Genomic DNA, 19,789 nt, shown 5'->3' on the forward strand with positions numbered 1-19,789 from the left:
CTTCAACCTGTGTTTTAAGTTCTGTGTTTACTTTTCTACTTGTTGACATGTACCTGTATCTGAGGAATGACGTATACTATTTAAAATAGTTTCTTCACAGTTGTTGAAAAAAATCTTATGCACAGAGAGGTTTTTGGTATTGTTGGAGAGTGTCACTGTTTTATATAATAAAACTTCAAAATGTTGTGATCCTTTTGAACATGGCCTTCCTTATGCCACTTCCAGCAGACAACATACACTCCCCCCTTTTGAGTGTTAAATAGGCACTGTGTTTATAAGGTATTGGAGTGCATTTAGCTCAAGGGTAACACTTAATCCCAATGTGGAAGAAGAAGCATAGAAATAATAGAAATCACACAAAGTATTTTCATAGCATATTTGTGTATATGACTAGATATTTACTGTTCAGTGAATTTTATTGGGGATAGCATTTATTAAGTATTTATACTTATGGTACTATCTGCCTCATGCTGTAAGTATAAATGCTTAATACTCCCTGGCTAACTGTTACTTGTAAGCACTCTGTATTGTTTGAATAGATAAGTACTACCACACTAGATGCTGGCATCCTATACTTAGAGTAGCCTCCATTCTGAAGTCTTTGCAGCTACTTAAATATGCAGAAGTCAGGAATTAAATGACTGTAATATTTTCAAAGAATATATTTCTTGGTCATATTTGAGACATCCTTATACTGTTGGTTTGTATTTTTCCTGGATGTATAAAAATAATTTAAGAGATATGTTGATAATTTAAGGAATATATTCACAGGTAATTACTGTTTTATGAACCATAAGATCTGCATCTCTTTAGGTTTTATTTTTCACACTATTTAGTATAAAGCGGAAAGTAAAAGTCACCTTCTTCCCTTCCAGTCTTACCAGGGGAGACTGCTATTAAGTTTGATGTATATTTTTCTAGAATTTTCTTTATACATGTGTAGTTATATGTAGACATATATATTTTATAAAAAAGGAATCATGCTATATATCCTATTCTACTCCTTCATTTTTTTCCACTCAGGAATATACCTTAAACTTTCCATGTCAATACTTACAAATCTGTTTTTTTTTTTAACAGAATATTTTATTGTTTGGGTAGAACATAATTTGTTTATTTAGTCATCTTTTTTTTTTTTTTTTTTGAGGTAGTCTTGCTCTGTCGCCCAGGATGGAGTGCAGTGATGTGATCACAGATCACTGCGGCGTTGACATCCTGGGCTCAAGCGGTCATCCCACCTCAGCCTCCCAAGTTGTTGGTGCACCACCATGCCCATGCCCAGCTAGTTTTTGTATTTTTTGTAGAGACAGGGTCTCGCCATGTTGCCCAGGCTGGTCTCAAAACTCCTGAGCTCAGCAATCCACTTGCCTCGGCCTTCTAAAGTGCTGGGATTACAGGCATGAGCCACTGCACCCGGTCTATTTAGTCTTCTATTAATGAACATGTATGTTGTTTTCATTTTGTTTTAAAAGCTCCACTGAATATACACTGTGAGCTCTTGTGTGATTATTTCCCTAGGATAAATTTTTGGAAGTGGAAAATTTCTGGGTCAAGAGTATGCTCATTTAAAATTGTGATTCATTGCCAAATTAATAGGCCAGACTTTTAAAGAGGCAGGTAAGTCTAGATGCAATATAAAACAAGGAAATTATAAGTGATAGCTATCATTTATTAAGCACTTCTTGTATGTCAGGGAGTAAACGTTAGTGCTTTATGCACACTACTTTATTTAATCGTTGGAACAATTCTGCTTTATGGAAGAGAATGCCAAGACTTTTGTTATTTAACTGTCCCAAATCATGCTGCAAATATAAGTGGCAGACCTGGAATTCATATGCAGGTTCCTTGACTCCAGTGGTAAAGGCATTAAAAAGGAAGATGCTGTCTGTGGAATTTCTTTTTCTTAGTTTTGGCAGCTCAGAATCAGGCTTGTTTTTTGAGATGCCCGGGCTGGAGTGCAGTGATGTGATCACAGCTCACTGCAGCCTTGACCTCCCAGGCTCAGGTGATTCTCCCACCTCAGCCTCCTAAGTAGCTGGGATTACAGGTGTGCATCACCATGCCCAGCTAATTTTTTTTTTTGAGACAGAGTCTCACTCTGTCACCCAGGCTGGAGTGCAGTGTCACAATCTCGACTTGCTGCAACCCTCACCTCCTGGGTTCAAGCGATTCTCGTGCCTCAGCCTCTCGAGTAGTTGGAATTGTAGATGTATACTACGCCTGGCTAATTTTTGTATTTTTATTAGACACAGGGTTTCACCATGTCAGCCAGCCTGGTGTTGAACTCCCAACCTCAAGTGATCCTCCTGCCTCAGCCTCCCAAAGTGTTGGGATTACAGGTGTTAGCCACCACGCCTGGCCAGAGTTTCTGTATTTTTTGTAGAGATGGGTTTTGCCATATTCTCCAGGCTGATTTCAAACTCCTGGGGTCCAGTGATCCGCCTGCCTTGGCCTCCCAAAGTGCTGGGATTACAGGTGTGAGCCACTGGGCCCGACTCAGGCATGATATTAATAGTGAATTCTCATAATGGCAATTAAAATAGTTGTTGGTAGATAGTAAGTGCTTTATATATTTTATTTCATTTAATCCTTATAACAGCCTACGAAATAGGTACTATTAATAACTCAATTTTAAAAATAAGAAAATGGAAGCATAGAAAAGTGAACTCAGGCTTGTAATCCCAGCACTTTGGGAGGCCGAGGTGGGGGGATCACGAGATCAGGAGTTCGAGACCAGCCTGACCAACATGGTGAAACCTTGTCTCTACTAAAAACACAAAAAATTGGCTGGACGTGGTGGCACGCGCCTGTAGTCCCAGCTACTTGGGAGGCTGAAGCAGGAGATTCGCTTGAACCCAGGAGGTGGAGGTTGCAGTAAGCCAAGATTGCTCCACTGCACTCCAGCCTGGGCGACAGAACGAGACTCTGTCTCAATTAAAAAAAAAAAAAAAATTAGCCGGGCGTGGTGGCGCACACCTGTGATCCCAGCTACTCAGGAGGCTAAGGCAGGAGAATCGCTTGAACCCAGGAGGCGGAGGTTGTGGTGAGCCGAGATCACGCCATTGGACTCCAACCTGGGCAACAAGAGTGAAACTCCATCTCAAAAAAAATAATTAAAAAAAAAAAAAATCAAGTAGGCCAGGCACGGTGTCTTATGCCTGTAATCCCAGCACTTTGGGAGGCCAAGGTGGAGAGGATTGCTTGAGCCCAGGAGTTTGAGATCAGCCTGGGCAACATGGTAAAACCCCATCTCTACAAAAATTTTTTTTAATTAACCAGATGCAGGGGTGCACAACTGTGGTCTTAGCTACTCAGGAGGCCGAGGTAGGAAAATTGCTTCAGCCTGGGAGGTCAAGGCTGCAGTGAACGGTGTTCTCACTATTGCACTTCAGCCTGAGCGACGGAACAAGACCCCGTCTCTAAGTAAAGAAAAGGAAAGTAATTTGTTCAAGGTTATATAGCTGATGAGTGGTAGAGCTAGGATTTGAACATAGGGAGCCCCTGACTCTAAGGTCATGGTTTTAACAACTCTACCATGCCGCCTGGATGAATATTGATTTGGGGAAGGAACAATCCTGCCAGTTAATCCTTCCCACTATTTATGTTTCCTGTTGTTGTTTACTTGTTTTTTCTTTGTTTGTTTGTGATGGAGTCTCCCTCTGTCGCCCAGGCTGGAGTGCAGTGGCACGATCTCGGCTCACTGCAAGCTCCGCCTCCCGGGTTCACACCATTCTCCTGCCTCAGCCTCCCGAGTAGCTGGGACTATAGGCACCCGCCACCGCACCCGGCTAATTTTTTGTATTTTTAGTAGAGATGGGGTTTCATCGTGTTAGCCAGGATGGTCTCAATCTCCTGACCTTGTGATCCGCCCGCCTCAGCCTCCCAAAGTGCTGGGATTACAGGCATGAGCCACCACACCCAGCCTGTTTGCAAATTCATTCCTTCCCGAGCCTTTCAGCAGTGGTTCTCAATTTGAATGTGCATAGGAATATCTTAGTACTGTTAAAAATGTAGATTTCAGGCCACACTTCCACTAATTTGATAGGGCTGGTATGGGTCCTGGGAATCTACATTTTAAAAAATATTTTTAAAATAATAACTTATCCGAGTCACATGGCACCAAAGTGTGTTAGCAGCCAAAAGTATCTGTTCGGGTCTGCAGCAGCCCCAATTCTTGCCTCCTCAGGAGACAGAAGGAGAGACCGAGACAAGTTTTAGAGCAGGAGTGAAAGTTTATTAAAAAGCCTTAGAGCAGGAAGGAAAGGAAGAAAAATACACTTGGAAGAGGGCCAAGCAGGTGACTTGAAAGACAGGTGTGCTGGGAATCTGCATTTTAACAAACATCTAGATCAGTATTTCTTAACTCTTTCACCATGACCCACAGTAAGAAATAGATTTTGTTTTTGAGTTCAATATATATACATACACCACACCCTTAGGACAGCGATACCCTATGTATTAGTCCGTTTTCACTCTGCTGATAAAGACACACCTGAGACTGTGAAGAAAAAGAAGTTTAATTGGACTTACAGTTCCACATGGCTGGGGAGGCCTCAGAATCATGGCGGAGGTGAAAGGCACTTCTTAGATGGTGGCAGCAAGAGAAAATGAGGAAAATGCAAAAGCGGAAATCCCTGATAAAACCATCATATCTTGTGAGACTTATTCACTACCACGAGAGCAGTATGGGGGAAACCACCCCCATGATTCAAATTATCTCCCACTGGGTCCCTCCCACAACACATGAGAATTATGGGAGTACAATTCAAGATGAGATTTGGGTGGAGACACAGAGCCAAACCATATCGCCCCACTACATGCAGTGTACTCAATTCTATTCTGTACCTTTCCTTTCCCTTCTTTTTCTTTCTCTCTTGCATTGTTAGTGCTTACCCAGCCCACTAAATTAATTTTACAATCAGTGGTTCCCAAGCTACAATTTGAAAATCTCTATCTGAGATGATTCTGATGCAAGTGATCCACAGAGTATACTCTGAGAAACTTTGATCTGATCTACATGCTGAGTTCAGCTTCTCAAATATGGCCTTTAAAGCCCTTCATAATCTGGAAGCCTTCCTTTCCATTCTAGCTTTCATTCTGTACCTCAGCTTCCTACCCCTCCTTCCTCTACCACTGAGTGCACACATGCACTTACTTGTTTTTGCCGTTCTGAACTATCTGCACTGTTAGAAGAGCCATGTTCTTTCTTACCTCTGTGCTTTTATACATGCAGTTCCTTTGCATGAAATACCCTGATCTGCCTGGTGAATTTTTCTTACTCACCCTCCAAGTTTAAGGATCACATCGTCTTTAAAGCCTTCCCTGACCTTCTCTCTGTTTTCCCAAAGTACCTGTGTGTGTGTGTATATATATATGTGTGTGTATGTATGTGTGTGTGTGTGCGTGTGTGTATGTGTGTGTGTGTATATATATATATATATATATTTTTTTTTTTTTTTTCTTTTCCGAGACAGAGTTTCGCTCTTGTTGCCCAGGCTGGAGTGCAATGGTGCAATCTTGGCTTACCGCAACCTCCACCTCCCAGGTTCAAGCAATTCTCCTGCCTCAGCCTTCTGAGTAGCTGGGACTACAGGCACGCGCCACCATGCCCAGCTAATTTTTTTTGTATTTTTAGTAGAGATGGGGTTTCACCATGGCCAGGCTGGTCTTGAACTCCTGACCTCAGGTGATCCGCCCACCTTGGCCTCCCAGAGTACTGGGATTACAGGCGTGAGCCACCGCACCCAGCCAGTACCTGTACATATTTCTAATATGGTTTGCTATAACTTTGATTACATGTTTTTCCTACACTAAATCATGAAATTCTGGAGGATGAGGACTGTCTTCCTTGTATCTCTGGCACATGAAAGAAGCTTAATTAAAATGTGTTAAAAGGGCCAGGCACGGTGGCTCATGCCTGTAATCCCAGCCCTTGGGGAGGCCAAGATGGGTGGATCACTTGAGTCTAGTTCGAGACCAGCCTGGGCAATGTGGTGAAACCCCATCTCTACAAAAAATTGGCTGGGCATGGGTGCGTGCTGCAAGTCCCAGCCTGCTCCAGAGGCTGAGGTAGGAGGATCACTTGAGCCTATCAGGCTGGGTTGCAGTGAGCCCAGATTGTGCCACTGCACTTCAGCCTGGGTGACAGTGAGACCCCGTATCAAAAAAACAAACAAACTAAAACGGTTGAAAGAATAAATGGACGAACATGTCATATTTGTACTTTTCTTTTTTTTTTTTTTACGGAGTCTCGCTCTGTTGCCCAGGCTGGAGTGCAGTGGTGTGATCTCGGCTCACTGCAAGCTCTGTCTCCCAGGTTCACACCATTCTCCTGCCTCAGCCTCCCGAGTAGCTAGGACTACAGGTGCCCGCCACCATGCCCAGCTAATTTTTTTGTATTTTTTAGTAGAGACAGGGTTCCACCGTGTTAGCCAGGATGGCCTCGGTCTCCTGATCTCGTGTTCCGTCCACCTCGGCCTCCCAAAGTGCTGGGATTACAGGCTTGAGCCACCACGCCCCGCCTTATTTGTACTTTTCTACCAAAAATATCACAGTTGTTTTCCTTACCTGAGATGCCCTGAAAGCCTTCTCAGTTCTCTTAAGTCTGAGATAACATCTTCCTAATTATACGGTATACTCAGCAATTAATCATTGAAAGTTTTGTGTTATCTGTTAGATCATTTGATTCTTCAGGAATTTTCTTAAAATATTAATTTCATGCTACTTGTGGACAGGGTCTGTGATGGAATCTTGTTTCCATTTCACTTTGGCACCTAAACAATGTATTTGTTTTACTGTTATCTCTATCTTCTCAGCTAAGTGCCTTGAGCTATTGAGTTTCCTACCTGCACACAATAGATTCCCCAACTAGTGTGTTTTAAGGCCGGCCTTTATCTTTCTTGCCATTTGTTCTTTAAAACTAAGAAACAGTCTCTAGCAAACGGGGCATAAAGCAGTCTAATACTGTCAAATTTGAGGCTTCAAGTAAAGGATTATTCAAATTGTCTAATTGCCAAAGTCTAAATTGGGTGAGGAATTTAATTAGGGACTCCAATATCAGATTTTAACAGTGTTTACTTAGCTAGAACAAGAGTGGCAGTTAGACTTTGTAGAGGACTCTTAACTGCAAAAGCTGAAAAAAATTTGTAATTATATATCATTTTCTAGTTATGTACTTTGGTAATGAAATGTTAGGATTTCTAGTATGCGGCAGTTAAACTCCATAGAATATCTAAACTGTATATTAAATTTTGTGCAATAAAATTGATTTTGACAATAAAGAATTTGCAATTAAGTTTTATTAGGTAGTTTACTGTTTTCCCATGTAGAGAATCTTGAGTTGTTATGAGAGTAAAAGGCTGCTATACAGTTGAGTTTGGGAAAACTACATTACTTAGTAGTCTGAAAGGGAATACAGTTTAATAAGTAGTCTAACATAGATTCTTATCTCTAAAGTCTGGTCTAATACAAGAAAAAGCCTTTCCTTACAACTGAAAACTTAAAGTTTGAAAAAATGGCTCATGTGTACTTCATTGTCCTTTCTTTATTGCAGTCAGAGTTTTCGAAGCCTTTTTTTCATTACCCTAGGCAGAACTTGTGTACTTTCTTGCTTTCAGTATTCCTTGAGCATATTTCCATTATAAAGTTTTTCATGTTGTATTATATAATTTTAGTTTATGTATCTATTTCTCATCCAGATACTCATCTCACTAAGGTCAGGCATTGTCTTTTCAAATTTGTATCTAACACTTTACTATGGTAGCACATAATAGATACTCAATAAGTATGTTGAAAGGTTGAGTAAATTAATGATATACTTCTAGTATACTTCTAGCACCTTTACTGTTTGCCTGGCACATGAACACTTAAATGTCAACTTTTATTATTATACATAGGGGATACTTTATATACTTTTTAAGTAACAAAAATGTAAATTAATTATAACTAAATTTTATATTTTTCCTTAAGTGAGACTTAGTTCATTTTTTTTTTTTCTATTATTTGTAGAGACAGGGTCTCCGTATGTTGCCCAGGCTGGTCTTGAACTCCTGGGCTTAAGTGATCCTCCTGCCTCGGTTTCCAAAAGTGCTGAGATTACAGGCATGAGCCACCATGCCCGACTGAGACATAGTTCTTAAAATTGTTATTCCAGGCTGGGCGCAGTGGCTCACGCCTGTAATCCCAGCACTTTGGGAGGCCGAGATGGGCGGATCACGAGGTCAAGAGATACAGACCATCCTGGCCAACATAATGAAACCCTATCTCTACTAAAAATACAAAAATTAGCTGGGCATGGTGGCGTGCACCTCTAGTCCTAGCTACTTGGGAGGCTGAGGCAGGAGGAGAATCAGTTGAACCAGGAGGCGGGGGTTGCAGTCAGCTGAGATGGCGCCACTGCACTCCAGCCTGGCGACAGAGCAAGACTCCATCTCAAAAAAAATAAAATTATTATTCCATATGCTGTGTATTTTTGCCTTGTTATTTATTTTTATTTCAGTAGTGTTTGACAGTATTAGAATTTTAGAAATGTTACACTTCTAGAGCTAGTAGACATAATTGATTTTTAAAATTTAATTCCTGCTTATGAAAAATATAGCATGATAATATCTTCTTGGTTAAGAATGAAATTCTCATTACACACCTACTGATTTTAGGGTTAAAGGAGTGATATTTCTTTCTAAAGGTAGATTAAACATTTAACATAAAAAGGAAGGGGCTGGGCACGGTGGCTCACACCTGTAATCCCAGCACTTTGGGAGGCTGAGGTGCGCAGATCACGAGTTCAGGAGATCAAGACCATCCTGGCTAACAGGGTGAAACTCCGTCTCTACTAAAAATACAAAAAATTAGCCGGGCATGGTGGCGGGCGCCTGTAGTCCCAGCTACTCGGGAGGCTGAGACGGGAGAATGGCGTGAACCCGGGAGGCGGAGCTTGCAGGGAGCCAAGCTCACATCACTGCACTCCAGCCTGGGTGACAGAGTGAGACTCCATCTCAAAAAAAAAACAAAAAACAAAAAAAAAAAAAACATAAAAAGGAAGGAGAACAGGAGAACAGTTATTACCTTATATTTTGACTAACTACAAAGTGAAATTTTAAACTAGTTTAAGAGGAATTTGAGAGAAGTCGATTGGTCTCATGCTTCCTTCCGTTAGTTTCTGCAAATGTTAAAACTGAGTATCAGGCCAGGCACGGCCACTCACACCTGTAATCCCAACACTGGGGGCCCAAGGTGGGTGGATCACTTGAGGTCAGGAGTTCCAGACCACCTTGGCCAACATGGTGAAACCCCGTCTCTACTAAAAATACAAAACTTAGCCAGGCATGGTGGTGCATGCCTGTAATCCTAGCTGCTTGGGAGGCTGAGGCGTTAGAATCTCTTGAACCCTGGAGGCAGAGGCTGCAGTGAGCCAAGATCACAACACTGCACTCTAACCTGGGCGACAGAGTGAGACTCTGTCTCAAACAAAACAAACAAAACTGAGTATCAATTTTGACATTACAGAATAAAACACTGCATTTTGTATTATAGAATGATATGTATCTATTAAAATGCCTACAGCAAGCATTATCCTAAATAAGAGAAATATCAGAAACATTCGCTTTGAAGTTAAGAATGAGAAACCAAGGCACACTTTTACCACTTGTATTCAACATCGTAGTGAAGGTCATAGCCAGAGCAGTGAGCATTGTAGCCAGTGTACAGTAAGACCCCCCAAAAAGTAGAGGCATAGGATTGAAAAATGAGGAAATAAAACTATAATTATTTGAAATTATTATAGTGATAACCCAAAAGATATATAAATGGATTATTTAGATAAGTTTAAAAGAGTGAGCTTTGTGCATTGGCAGTATAGCCAAGTGAGGTTTATCTTAGGAGTGGTTATTGTTAATTGAAAACTTTTTCCTAATATCCTGCTGTCATGACTTGCAGTATAGTCAGCATTGGCAATTTTTGACAGTCTTTTTGGAGACTGAATAAAAAATAAAGTTTAAAAGGGTTAGTGGATGTAAAATTAATATATAAAGGTCAGTCATATTTCCATATCTCAGCAGCAAATAACTGGAAAACATCATTAAAACAAATATTGTCAGGAGATATGAAGTATGTAGAAACAAATCAAAGAAATGATAAGATTTCTTTAGGGAAAATTATAAAATTTTATTATGAGATCTTAGAGAATACTTAAATAAATGGAGAGGTATTCCGTGTTCTCTAATAGTAATATTGTAAAAATGTCATTTTCCCAGGCCGGGCGTGGTAGCTCACACCTGTAATCCCAGCACTTTGGGAGGCCGAGGCGGGCGGATCACAAGGTCAAGAGGTTGAGACCATCCTGGCCAAGATGATGAAACCCCATCTCTACTTAAAATACAAAATTAGCTGGGCGTGGTGGCACAGGCCTGTAGTCCCAGCTACTCGGGAGGCTGAGGCAGGAGAATCACTTGAACCCGGGAGGCGGAGGTTGCAGTGAGCTGAGATCGTGCCACTGCACTCCAGCCTGGGCAAAGAGCAAGACTGTCTCAAAAAAAAAAAAAAAAAAAAAAAAAGTCATTTTCCCCCAATTGATAAGTAGATTCAATGCAACTCCATATTAAATGTGATAATTCTAAACAGGAACAGAATATAGAAAAAGAACAATGAGGAGAAATTGACCTCATCAGATAGAAGTATTAATACTAATTAAGGCAGTGTCATATTGGGATAAGAATAGATAGATTGACTCATTGGAGTAGAATTGAGAGCCCAGAAGAGACTCCAATCACCTGTGACCCTGAACTGGAATAATTGGGTAAATCATTATCTTAACTTGTTTTTATTAATCTTTCTTAAATGTATGTATAGCTCAGATTTATTTCAATATTTAATATTGCAAGCGTTTTGGTCTTATAAATTTAGTGATGTTTTTGTGACCCATAGTCTGCCGTAGAAACTTAACTCTTATTAATATTGATTAGCCTATGGTAAAATTGGTTTTATTATGGTGTTGTTTCGCTTGAAGTTGCAATTTCCAAGAACCTATAGACATCATCCTAGAAGACATTAAGTGAAGACTTACTGTGTATATAAGCAGATTTGAAATTAAAAATATAAAAGATCTTCTGAAGTTGCAACAGTGCTCAGAAGTATTATAAAATAGAAATAAATCATTTCCAAAAGAGAGATTTCATTTTTGCCCAAAATCTTTCTTCTAAGCTATAAAAGACAAAACTGTTCAATACACAGTTTTGTCAATTTAAATCTACATATTCACCCAATTTTTATAAGATAAAATAAAAATGTATAATTATTGAAAAAAGAATTGAGAGCCCAGAAACAGAGCTAAGGAAATATGCGACTTTAGTGTATGACAGAGGTGGCATGTCATATCAAGAGGAAAGGAGGAAATGTTTGAGAAATGAAGCTTGAAAAAAAAATAGTTATTTAATTAAGTCGGATTCCCTACCTCACATCATATACAAATATCAGCTGAAGATGGATTAAAGGCTTTAAAAGTGAATCAACATTTTAAAAACTTTTGGTAGACTATGTTGGTAAACATTTTAATCCTTGAGGTATAAAAAGACAAGACACAAAGTGTTTTCTATAAAACTTTTGATAAATTTGATTATATTCTTAATTTCAATTTATTATATTTTTCAGTTCTAGAATTTGATTCCTTTTTTTCAGTTTCAAGTTCTCCAGTAAACTCTCAATCTTAATTCCTTGAATATATTAAGTATAGTTACTTTAAATTATATGTCTGAAAACTTCATTATTTGGATCCTTTGTGGTATGTTTTTATTGCCTGTTGCTTTCTTTTAAAAAAAAATTTTTTATTTTGCCTCCTCATATGTGTGGTTATTTAAGATAAAATACCAGTCATTTTCTGTGAAAAAGAGTAAAGATTTTAGGCCTACAATATTATCTCCCTGCAGAAAATTTTCTTCTGGCTAGTGGCCGGGTACACTAGCAATCCCAGGTCACCTAAAATCAGTGAATGATTTAGGTTATTTGAAGTTGGGCTTTCATCCCTGAAATCTGATATGTTTCCAGTTCACCCTTACTCCTAGGGTATAGCTCTTTCAGACCTCAAATCCCCCAAAGCCTTGGGTATTTATCAGATCCCACATCCTTGGCAAACTCTCAACTCCTTTATTTTTTCCCTATAGTTTATTGAGAGTTCATCTCAATCTTCTTAACCATCTCTTAGAAAATTGTCAGGCTATATTCAGATAAAAGTGGCCTCTCATTCTGAACTGTGGGTTTTCTTCTCTCATATCTTGGTCGCATGGTTTTTCATGACCTTGTTAGCTCTCTAATGTCATTAGAGAAATTTTGTTTCATATTTTGTCCACTTTATTCTCATGGTTGAATTGGTCCAGTTTACAGATTATCATCTATCATTACCAAAGTAGAACTTCTTTTTATTAACGTTTACTTTATGCTTTCTTCAGTAACTTGTAAAAGTATCTAAATGTTTGGTTGTTCAATAGGACTTTAAGTAATTCTTCAGTCATTTATGTTAATTGAGAAAATGTATAATAAATATCACTACTAGGTTCAACACCTAGTGGAGATACATCAGACATCCCTTCTGACTTCATTTGAAACTTTGTCTAATAGGATAGAAGAGGCATACATAAATGATTATCATGTAAGATTTTAAAACTTTTAAGGGCATAAGAAAGGTATAGGTCAAGTCTTGCACTGATTTAGAGAGGAGAAATATTCCCTCCATTGCAGAGGATGAAGTTAGGCTTTATAGAAAAGAAGCTTTGAGCTGGGGTTTCAGCCTTACACTGAATCTTGCATTGGGTAAAAACGGGTATCTGTCATGATTCTTGCCTGTCAGTAGTTTTTAACCATGTTGTGCAGAGATGAAAGTAATTCTGATGCAGTAGTAATTGTATTTCCACACATTGAGAAGATTCAAAGCAAAATCTCATAAACAGTGATTTTTTTTGAGAAGTAAGTAGAATTTCTTCCCTGTAGTAGAACTATTATGTGACTAAATGTTTTTGAACTTTGGCTTATTGACCAGTTTGTTTATTTTTCTTTTATGTGCCATTTAAAAATATTTAAAATAAACTTTTATTGAGATACAATAAAATCTACCCGAATATGTCCTGCTACATAACCACAATCAAGCTATGGAACATTTCCATCACCCCCTAAAATTTCCCTGGTCCCCTTCTCGCTCAGTTCCCTACCCTGCCTCTGCCTCAGGCAATTACTAATCTGCCTTCTGTCACTGGAGATTAATCTTTTCTAAAACTGCATGTAAATGGAAGCATACAGTATACTTTTGTATCTGGTTTCTTTTGCTCAACATGGTTTTGAGATACATTCATTTGGGAGTGTATACCCATAGCTTGTTTTTTTGTTTTTTTTTTTTTTTTGAGATGGAGTCTTGCTCTGTCGCCCAGGCTGGAGTGCAGTGGCACAATTTCGGCTCACTGCAAGCTCTGCCTCTCGGGTTCACCATTCTCCTGCCTCAGCCTCCCAAGTAGCTGGGATTATAGGCGCCCGCCACCACGCCTGGCTAATTTTTTGTATTTTTAGTAGAGGCGGGGTTTCACCGTGTTAGCCAGGATGGTCTCGATCTCCCAACCTCATGATCCACCCACCTCGGCCTCCCAAAGTGCTGGGATTACAGGTGTGAGCCACCACGCCTGGCCAGTTTGTTCTCTTTTATTGCTGAGTTTATTCCATTGTAGGTCTATACCACACTTTGTTTATCCATTCACAGAGTTCACATAGGTTTGTTTTTAAACTTACCAGGAACATCTAGCTACAAATTTATCTTTTTTGCATATTGATTACTCATCTTTGCAATTGAGAGACACTAATATCTTGAATGCTACATTTATAATGCTGTAAAAATGGATTTTGAAGAGGTAGCTCTCATATTGCCTACACAATAGTGCCAGTAGAGTATGCTGCTGTAACACAAGTGTTGGTATCATAACATTTTGACCTTTCAGTTGTACAGAGTACAGATGTGTTTTTATGCACTGTTTCAAAGATTAAGCATAAGAATGCTAATACTGGGATACTTATAAATGTTGTGATAGCTAAGTAGACTCTCAATGTCATTAAATAAAAACAGTACAAAATACATTATCAGTTTTATTAGTTATTGCCTGTAAAATAAGGAATTTGGGCTTAACTATGTTTCTAAATTTAGTGTTTCAAAATTTAATACTTTGCAAAGTAAAATTGTTATGTAAATAATGTGCATGTCTTGCTTTTTAAAAATATGACTTATTGCTATAGCTTATGGCATTTGAAAAGGCAATATTTTCTTTTGGAACTGGATTTCTGGTTCAAATACTAATTTAACAAACTATTATACTATATTCTATCATGAGCTTTTCTAGTTTTATAGAACTGTAAAATTTTTAATTAAAACATTTTTTAAGTTTGCACGTAAAATTTCTTATGGAAACTAGCTATCTTAACATTTTTTTGTTTCTTGGTATTTCATCCTTAAAATGTTGATCCACATTTAGTAGATACTCTTGTGTATGTCATTTTTATGTACAACACATGTACAATTTTCTAATAGATTTCAATTTTTAAAAGCATAGGCTCTAAATTTAATGACTTGAGTTCACATTTCCACCCTGTCACTGTGAAACTTTGGGCAAGTAATTCATCTCTTTACAGTCAGTTCCAGGCCAGGCTCAGTGGCTCACGCCCATAATCCCAACACTTTGGGAGGCCAAGGTGGGTGGATCACTTGAGCCTGGGAGTTTGAGACCACCCTGGGCAACATAGTGAAACCCCATCTCTACAAAAAAATAGAAAAATTAGCTGGGCGTGGTGGCATGTGCCTGTAGTCCCAGCTACTCAGGAGGCTGAGATGGGAAGATCACTTGAGCCTGGGAGGCGGAGGTTGAGGTGAACCAAAATCGCATCACTGCACTCCAGCCTGGGCAACAGAGTGAGACCCCCATGTCAAAAAAACGAACTAAACTCAGTTCCTCGTTTGTAAAATGGGGATGAAAGTAATTCTTGTACAGATTTAGGAGATAATTTACAGAGTCCTTAACACAACAACTGGACCAAATACATACTTGTTGAATGAATGGGTAAATGCCATTCTTTGTTGTGTACAAACCTGCAACTATTTTTTAAAACTTTGATTTGTTATTAATGTCAACTTGGGATTTTGCTTTAAATCCCAGGTGAGGGGATAGTTACTTCCTGAACATGGCTATAATTTATCAAATACTGTTAGATAGTGATTACTTGATAAGAATGATAAAAGGCATTCTTGAGATTGTATACTGTTCTATTTTTATTCATACATATTTGGATGCTATTCAAGGTTATTGGCTATAATGGGCAGGGAGGAGGACCTAGCAAGTCTTTAGGTCTATGTGACTATTACATTTAAAAAATTTTTTTTTTCTATTCAGTCCCTGAAAAACAGCTGAATGATATTGAAGATTGTGACCTCAATGTGGTGAGACTGTGTTTTCAAGTTTTTCTCCCTGATGAACATGGTAATTTGACGACTGCTCTTCCTCCTGTTGTCTCGAACCCAATTTATGACAACCGTAAGTACTTCATTTTCTTATATTTGTAGTCTTAACTTGTTTTTTGTAATAGTTTAATTCTTAAAATTATTTTGGTAATTAGGAAAACAATATATTCATGATAGGAAAACTTCCAGACATTAGAGAAATATATAACAGAAAGGAAATCTTCTCTAATCTCATCCTCCAGAGATAATCACTATCCTTAGGTGCATATTTTACCAGTTTCTTCTTCCTGTATATACACAGATACATTGTCATCATCATCATTTTTGACACAGTACAATTTTGGCAACTTAAAATCATAAGTGATGATTGTTTTAAAAACTAACTTTCTTCTTACCATATATCTTGGACATTTTCCTTTTAATCACCTTATTCTTTTCAGTAGCAGCATATTTTATTATGTAGTTATATCATAATTTTATTAATTACCCTCTTACAAGGCATTTGGTTTGTTTCTTTTCTCATTTTTTCTTTTTGGCCTAGCAAACTGTACTGCAATACATATTCTTGTATATTTTTTTTTATTGGTTTTTTTTTTTTTTTTGGAGACAGGGTCTCACTCTGTCACCCAGGCTGGAGTGCAGTGGTGCAGTCATGGCTCACTGCATGGCAAATGCTGGCTCAAAGGATATGGATATATCTCATTTTGAAAGATTATGAAACTTTCCCCCAAAATACTGTGTGTGTGTGTGTGTGTGTGTGTGTGTGTGTGTACGTGTGTGTGTGTGTACATAGACTTAGATATACGTCCACCAATGGTGTATGATATACCTGTTTTATGTGTAGAAGGATAGAGAGACTTAGGGCTATAAAGGAAGCATGAAAGTTGTATTGCCATAGGGAGATGTATTGCCATAGGGAAAATTGTATTGCCATGGGGATGTGGTCATGATTTATGAAGATTAATCTGGTGACAGTGGGTAGGATTGATTGGCGGAATCAGAATTTAGAAGCAGGGAGATGTAATTAGAGAATATGTCATTACCTAGAAATGAAGCCACAAAGTCTAAAGTAAAGCAGTTAGAAAGGAAGTGGACAGATAAATAGATGATTAATGTATTTAGTGTCATTTATCTATACACTAAAACTTTTATTCTGTGAATGCTTTTCCTCAAATTCTTCCCTGCAAAAAGAAATAAAATATTACTAAGGTAGCAACTCATTTTTTTGAAAATCCTTTATATTTAGGTGCTCCAAATACTGCAGAATTAAGGATTTGTCGTGTAAACAAGAATTGTGGAAGTGTCAGAGGAGGAGATGAAATATTTCTACTTTGTGACAAAGTTCAGAAAGGTATTTATTTATTTCATTGAATTTAGAATAAATTTTAGATTAATAGATGCAGTTACTTTGTTTTCCCATTTTTTTTTTTTTGGTTTCTTATTGACTAGATGACATAGAAGTTCGTTTTGTGTTGAACGATTGGGAAGCAAAAGGCATCTTTTCACAAGCTGATGTACACCGTCAAGTAGCCATTGTTTTCAAAACTCCACCATATTGCAAAGCTATCACAGAACCCGTAACAGTAAAAATGCAGTTGCGGAGACCTTCTGACCAGGAAGTTAGTGAATCTATGGATTTTAGATATCTGCCAGATGAAAAAGGTATGACATTTTGCTGGTAATAATTTATATATTTCTTGAAGTGGTCCTGCTAATAACATCTTCTTGTAATATTCATTTGAGTACAGTTATGTATATTCATAATTTATGTTTCTTTTCCTGGAAGCTTTCTGTTGGTTTTTTCTTTATGCTCTTTGCATCTCTTTATTTGTTGGGTTGTTTTTTGTTTTGTTTTGTTTTGTTTTTGAGACAGAGTCTCACTGTCACCCAGGCTAGAGTGCAGTGGCGCAATCTTAGCTCACTGTAACCTCCTCCTCCCGGGTTCAAGCGATTCTTCTGCCTCAGCCTCCTGAGTAGCTGGGACTATAGGCACGTGCCACCACGCTGGGCTACTACTTTTGTATTTTTAGTAGAGACAGGGTTTCACCATGTTGGCTAGGCTGGTCTCTGCATCTCTTTCTTCAAGAAGAGGTTTGATTAGTATGGAATAATTTCAAAGTATCTAAACTGCTTACTAAAATTTCTATTTTATTTTTGAAGGTCTGTTTTAGTCTTTGTGCACTTACCACTCAGAGAGTAGTCTCTATATTGGTTTCTTATCAAACCTTATTGCATTAGTTGACATTATTGACTTGTGTGATAAGAAAACAAGATGAATATTTTAAACAGCTTGTTTTGGGTTTTTTTTGAGACAGGGTCTCACTCTGTCACTCAAGCTGGAGTACAGTGGCATGATCGTGGCTCACCAGAGCCTCAGCCTCCTGGGCTCAGGTGATCATCCCACCTCAGCCTCGTGAGTACCTGGGACTATAGGTGCGCACCACCACACTTGGCTAATTTTTGTGGGGTTTTTTTGTTTTTTTGTTTTTTTGTTTTTGAGATGGAGTCTTGCTCTGTCTTGCCCAGGCTGGAGTACAGTGGCGCAATCCTGGCTCACTGCAGCTTCTGCCTCCTGGGTTCAAGCAATTCTCCTGTCTCAGCCTCCCAGGTAGCTGGGACTACAGGCATGCGCCACCACACCCGACTCATTTTGTATTTTTAGTAGAGATGGGGTTTCACCATGTTGGCCAGGCTGGTCTCAAACTCCTGACCTCAGGTGATTCACCCACCTCAGCCTCCCAAAGTGCTGGGATTGCAGGTATGAGCCACTGCGCCTGGCCAATTTTTCTGTTTTTTTATGGAGACAGGGTTTTGTCATGTTGCTTAGGTTGGCCTCAAACTCCTGCGCTCAAGTGATCCACCTGCCTCAGCCTCCCAAAGTGCTGAGATTACTTTAAACAATTTTTTACTAAGAGAAAAATATCCTTTTCTACTGATACTACTGATTTGGGACATATTCTATAATACTTATTAAATCCAACTTACATACATATTTATTGAAAACATTTTCTATATGTGAATAAAATATTTGTTTATTAAAGGAGAGGATACAATCCTATAATTTTTTATCTGCTTTCCTGGTTTCTTTCTAATCAGATACTTACGGCAATAAAGCAAAGAAACAAAAGACAACTCTGCTTTTCCAGAAACTGTGCCAGGATCACGGTAAGAATAGTTTGGATCGATTCATATTTAAATAGGTTTTGTTTTATTTACTTTATTCAGTTTTTCAAATTTTATTATTTTTGTTTTGTTTTGTTGTTTGTTTGTTTTTTGAGATAGCATCTCTCTCTGTCACCCAGGCTGGAGTGCAGTAGGGCAATCTCAACTCACTGCAACCTCTGCCCCCCAGGTTCAACAATTCTCCTGCCTCAGCCTCCCGGGTAGCTGAGATTACAGGCATGTGCCACCACACCCGGCTAATTTTTGTATTTTTAGTAGAAACAGGGTTTCGCCATGTTGACCAGGATGGTCTTGAACTCCTGACATCAGGTGATCCACCCACCTTGGCCTCCCAAAGTGCTGGGATTACAGGTGGGAGCCACCACGCCCGGCCAGTTTTTCAGATTTTAACTGATAATGTTATTTTTCAAATGACATTTAATAATGGAAAAACTTTATCCTAACAGTTAATTTTCCTGAGAGACCAAGACCTGGTCTCCTCGGTTCAATTGGAGAAGGAAGATACTTCAAAAAAGGTATTTTATTTCCTATAGCATATTTCTTGTGATCAGAAAGACCAGTACTTTGCACAATATATTGGAATTCTATTTTTAGGAATGAATAACTGCTTCTTTGAAAATTTTCTCTCCAGATTTTTCATGCTTTCAGTATAGAATGAATTAAGCATGGCTTCTGAAGGTTGTGTTAGAAACTGATTATGTTTTTGGGATTTATTGTTCAAGAAATTACATGTTGTTCATATGGTAGCAATTTTATTAATTACATTGCGTTATGAAAAAATGTTACTGATTTGGTTAGTTACCTGTTTTTATAAATAACATTTTACTGGAACACGGCCATGAATATTTGATTAAATATTATCTCTAAACTGCTTTTTTTTTTTAACACTATGGCAACAGGGTTGAATAGTTCCAACAGAGGCTGTATATAGCTCACAAAGCCTAAAATATTTACAATCTGACTTTTTACAGAAAAAAAAATTGCCAATCCCTAGTTTAGGTAATTCAACCGAGGGCTAATTAGAAGAAGTCTTTTTTCCCCCACGTACATTCTTAAATCATTGCTTTTTCCTGGTTTAGTTTGTAAAGCATTTGTATAATATGTAAATAGATACAGAATTAATTTTTTCTG

At 38.4% G+C, this 19,789-nt stretch overlaps 1 protein-coding gene and 1 pseudogene across 4 annotated transcripts in view, besides 1 other annotated feature; both read left to right on the forward strand.

The window, feature by feature from the left end:
• Positions 1-19,789, forward strand: part of REL (REL proto-oncogene, NF-kB subunit) — a 50,039-nt gene that overhangs the window by 19,896 nt on the left and 10,354 nt on the right. For 2 of the 4 annotated variants that reach the window (NM_001291746.2, XM_011533010.4), the window contains 5 exons: positions 15,408-15,548; positions 16,722-16,826; positions 16,925-17,137; positions 18,572-18,640; positions 19,105-19,173. In NM_001291746.2, the coding sequence (NP_001278675.1) occupies positions 15,408-15,548; positions 16,722-16,826; positions 16,925-17,137; positions 18,572-18,640; positions 19,105-19,173 (597 nt within the window). Of the gene's footprint in view, positions 1-15,407; positions 15,549-16,721; positions 16,827-16,924; positions 17,138-18,571; positions 18,641-18,913; positions 19,010-19,104; positions 19,174-19,789 lie in introns of all 4 variants that reach the window. The other 2 variants (NM_002908.4, NM_001438025.1) reach the window with 2 other exon arrangements.
• Positions 6,645-6,939: a silencer, noted in NCBI's record as "tiled region #13586; HepG2 Repressive non-DNase unmatched - State 15:Elon". NCBI's record gives its function as "represses a minimal TATA promoter and a strong SV40 promoter by Sharpr-MPRA in HepG2 cells {active_cell/tissue: HepG2}" and the evidence as "EXISTENCE:reporter gene assay evidence [ECO:0000049][PMID:27701403]".
• RNU4-51P (RNA, U4 small nuclear 51, pseudogene) lies at positions 9,834-9,973 on the forward strand (annotated as a pseudogene).

This window comes from Homo sapiens, chromosome 2, assembly GCF_000001405.40.
Source record: "Homo sapiens chromosome 2, GRCh38.p14 Primary Assembly".
In the NCBI taxonomy this organism is placed as follows: domain Eukaryota; kingdom Metazoa; phylum Chordata; class Mammalia; order Primates; family Hominidae; genus Homo; species Homo sapiens.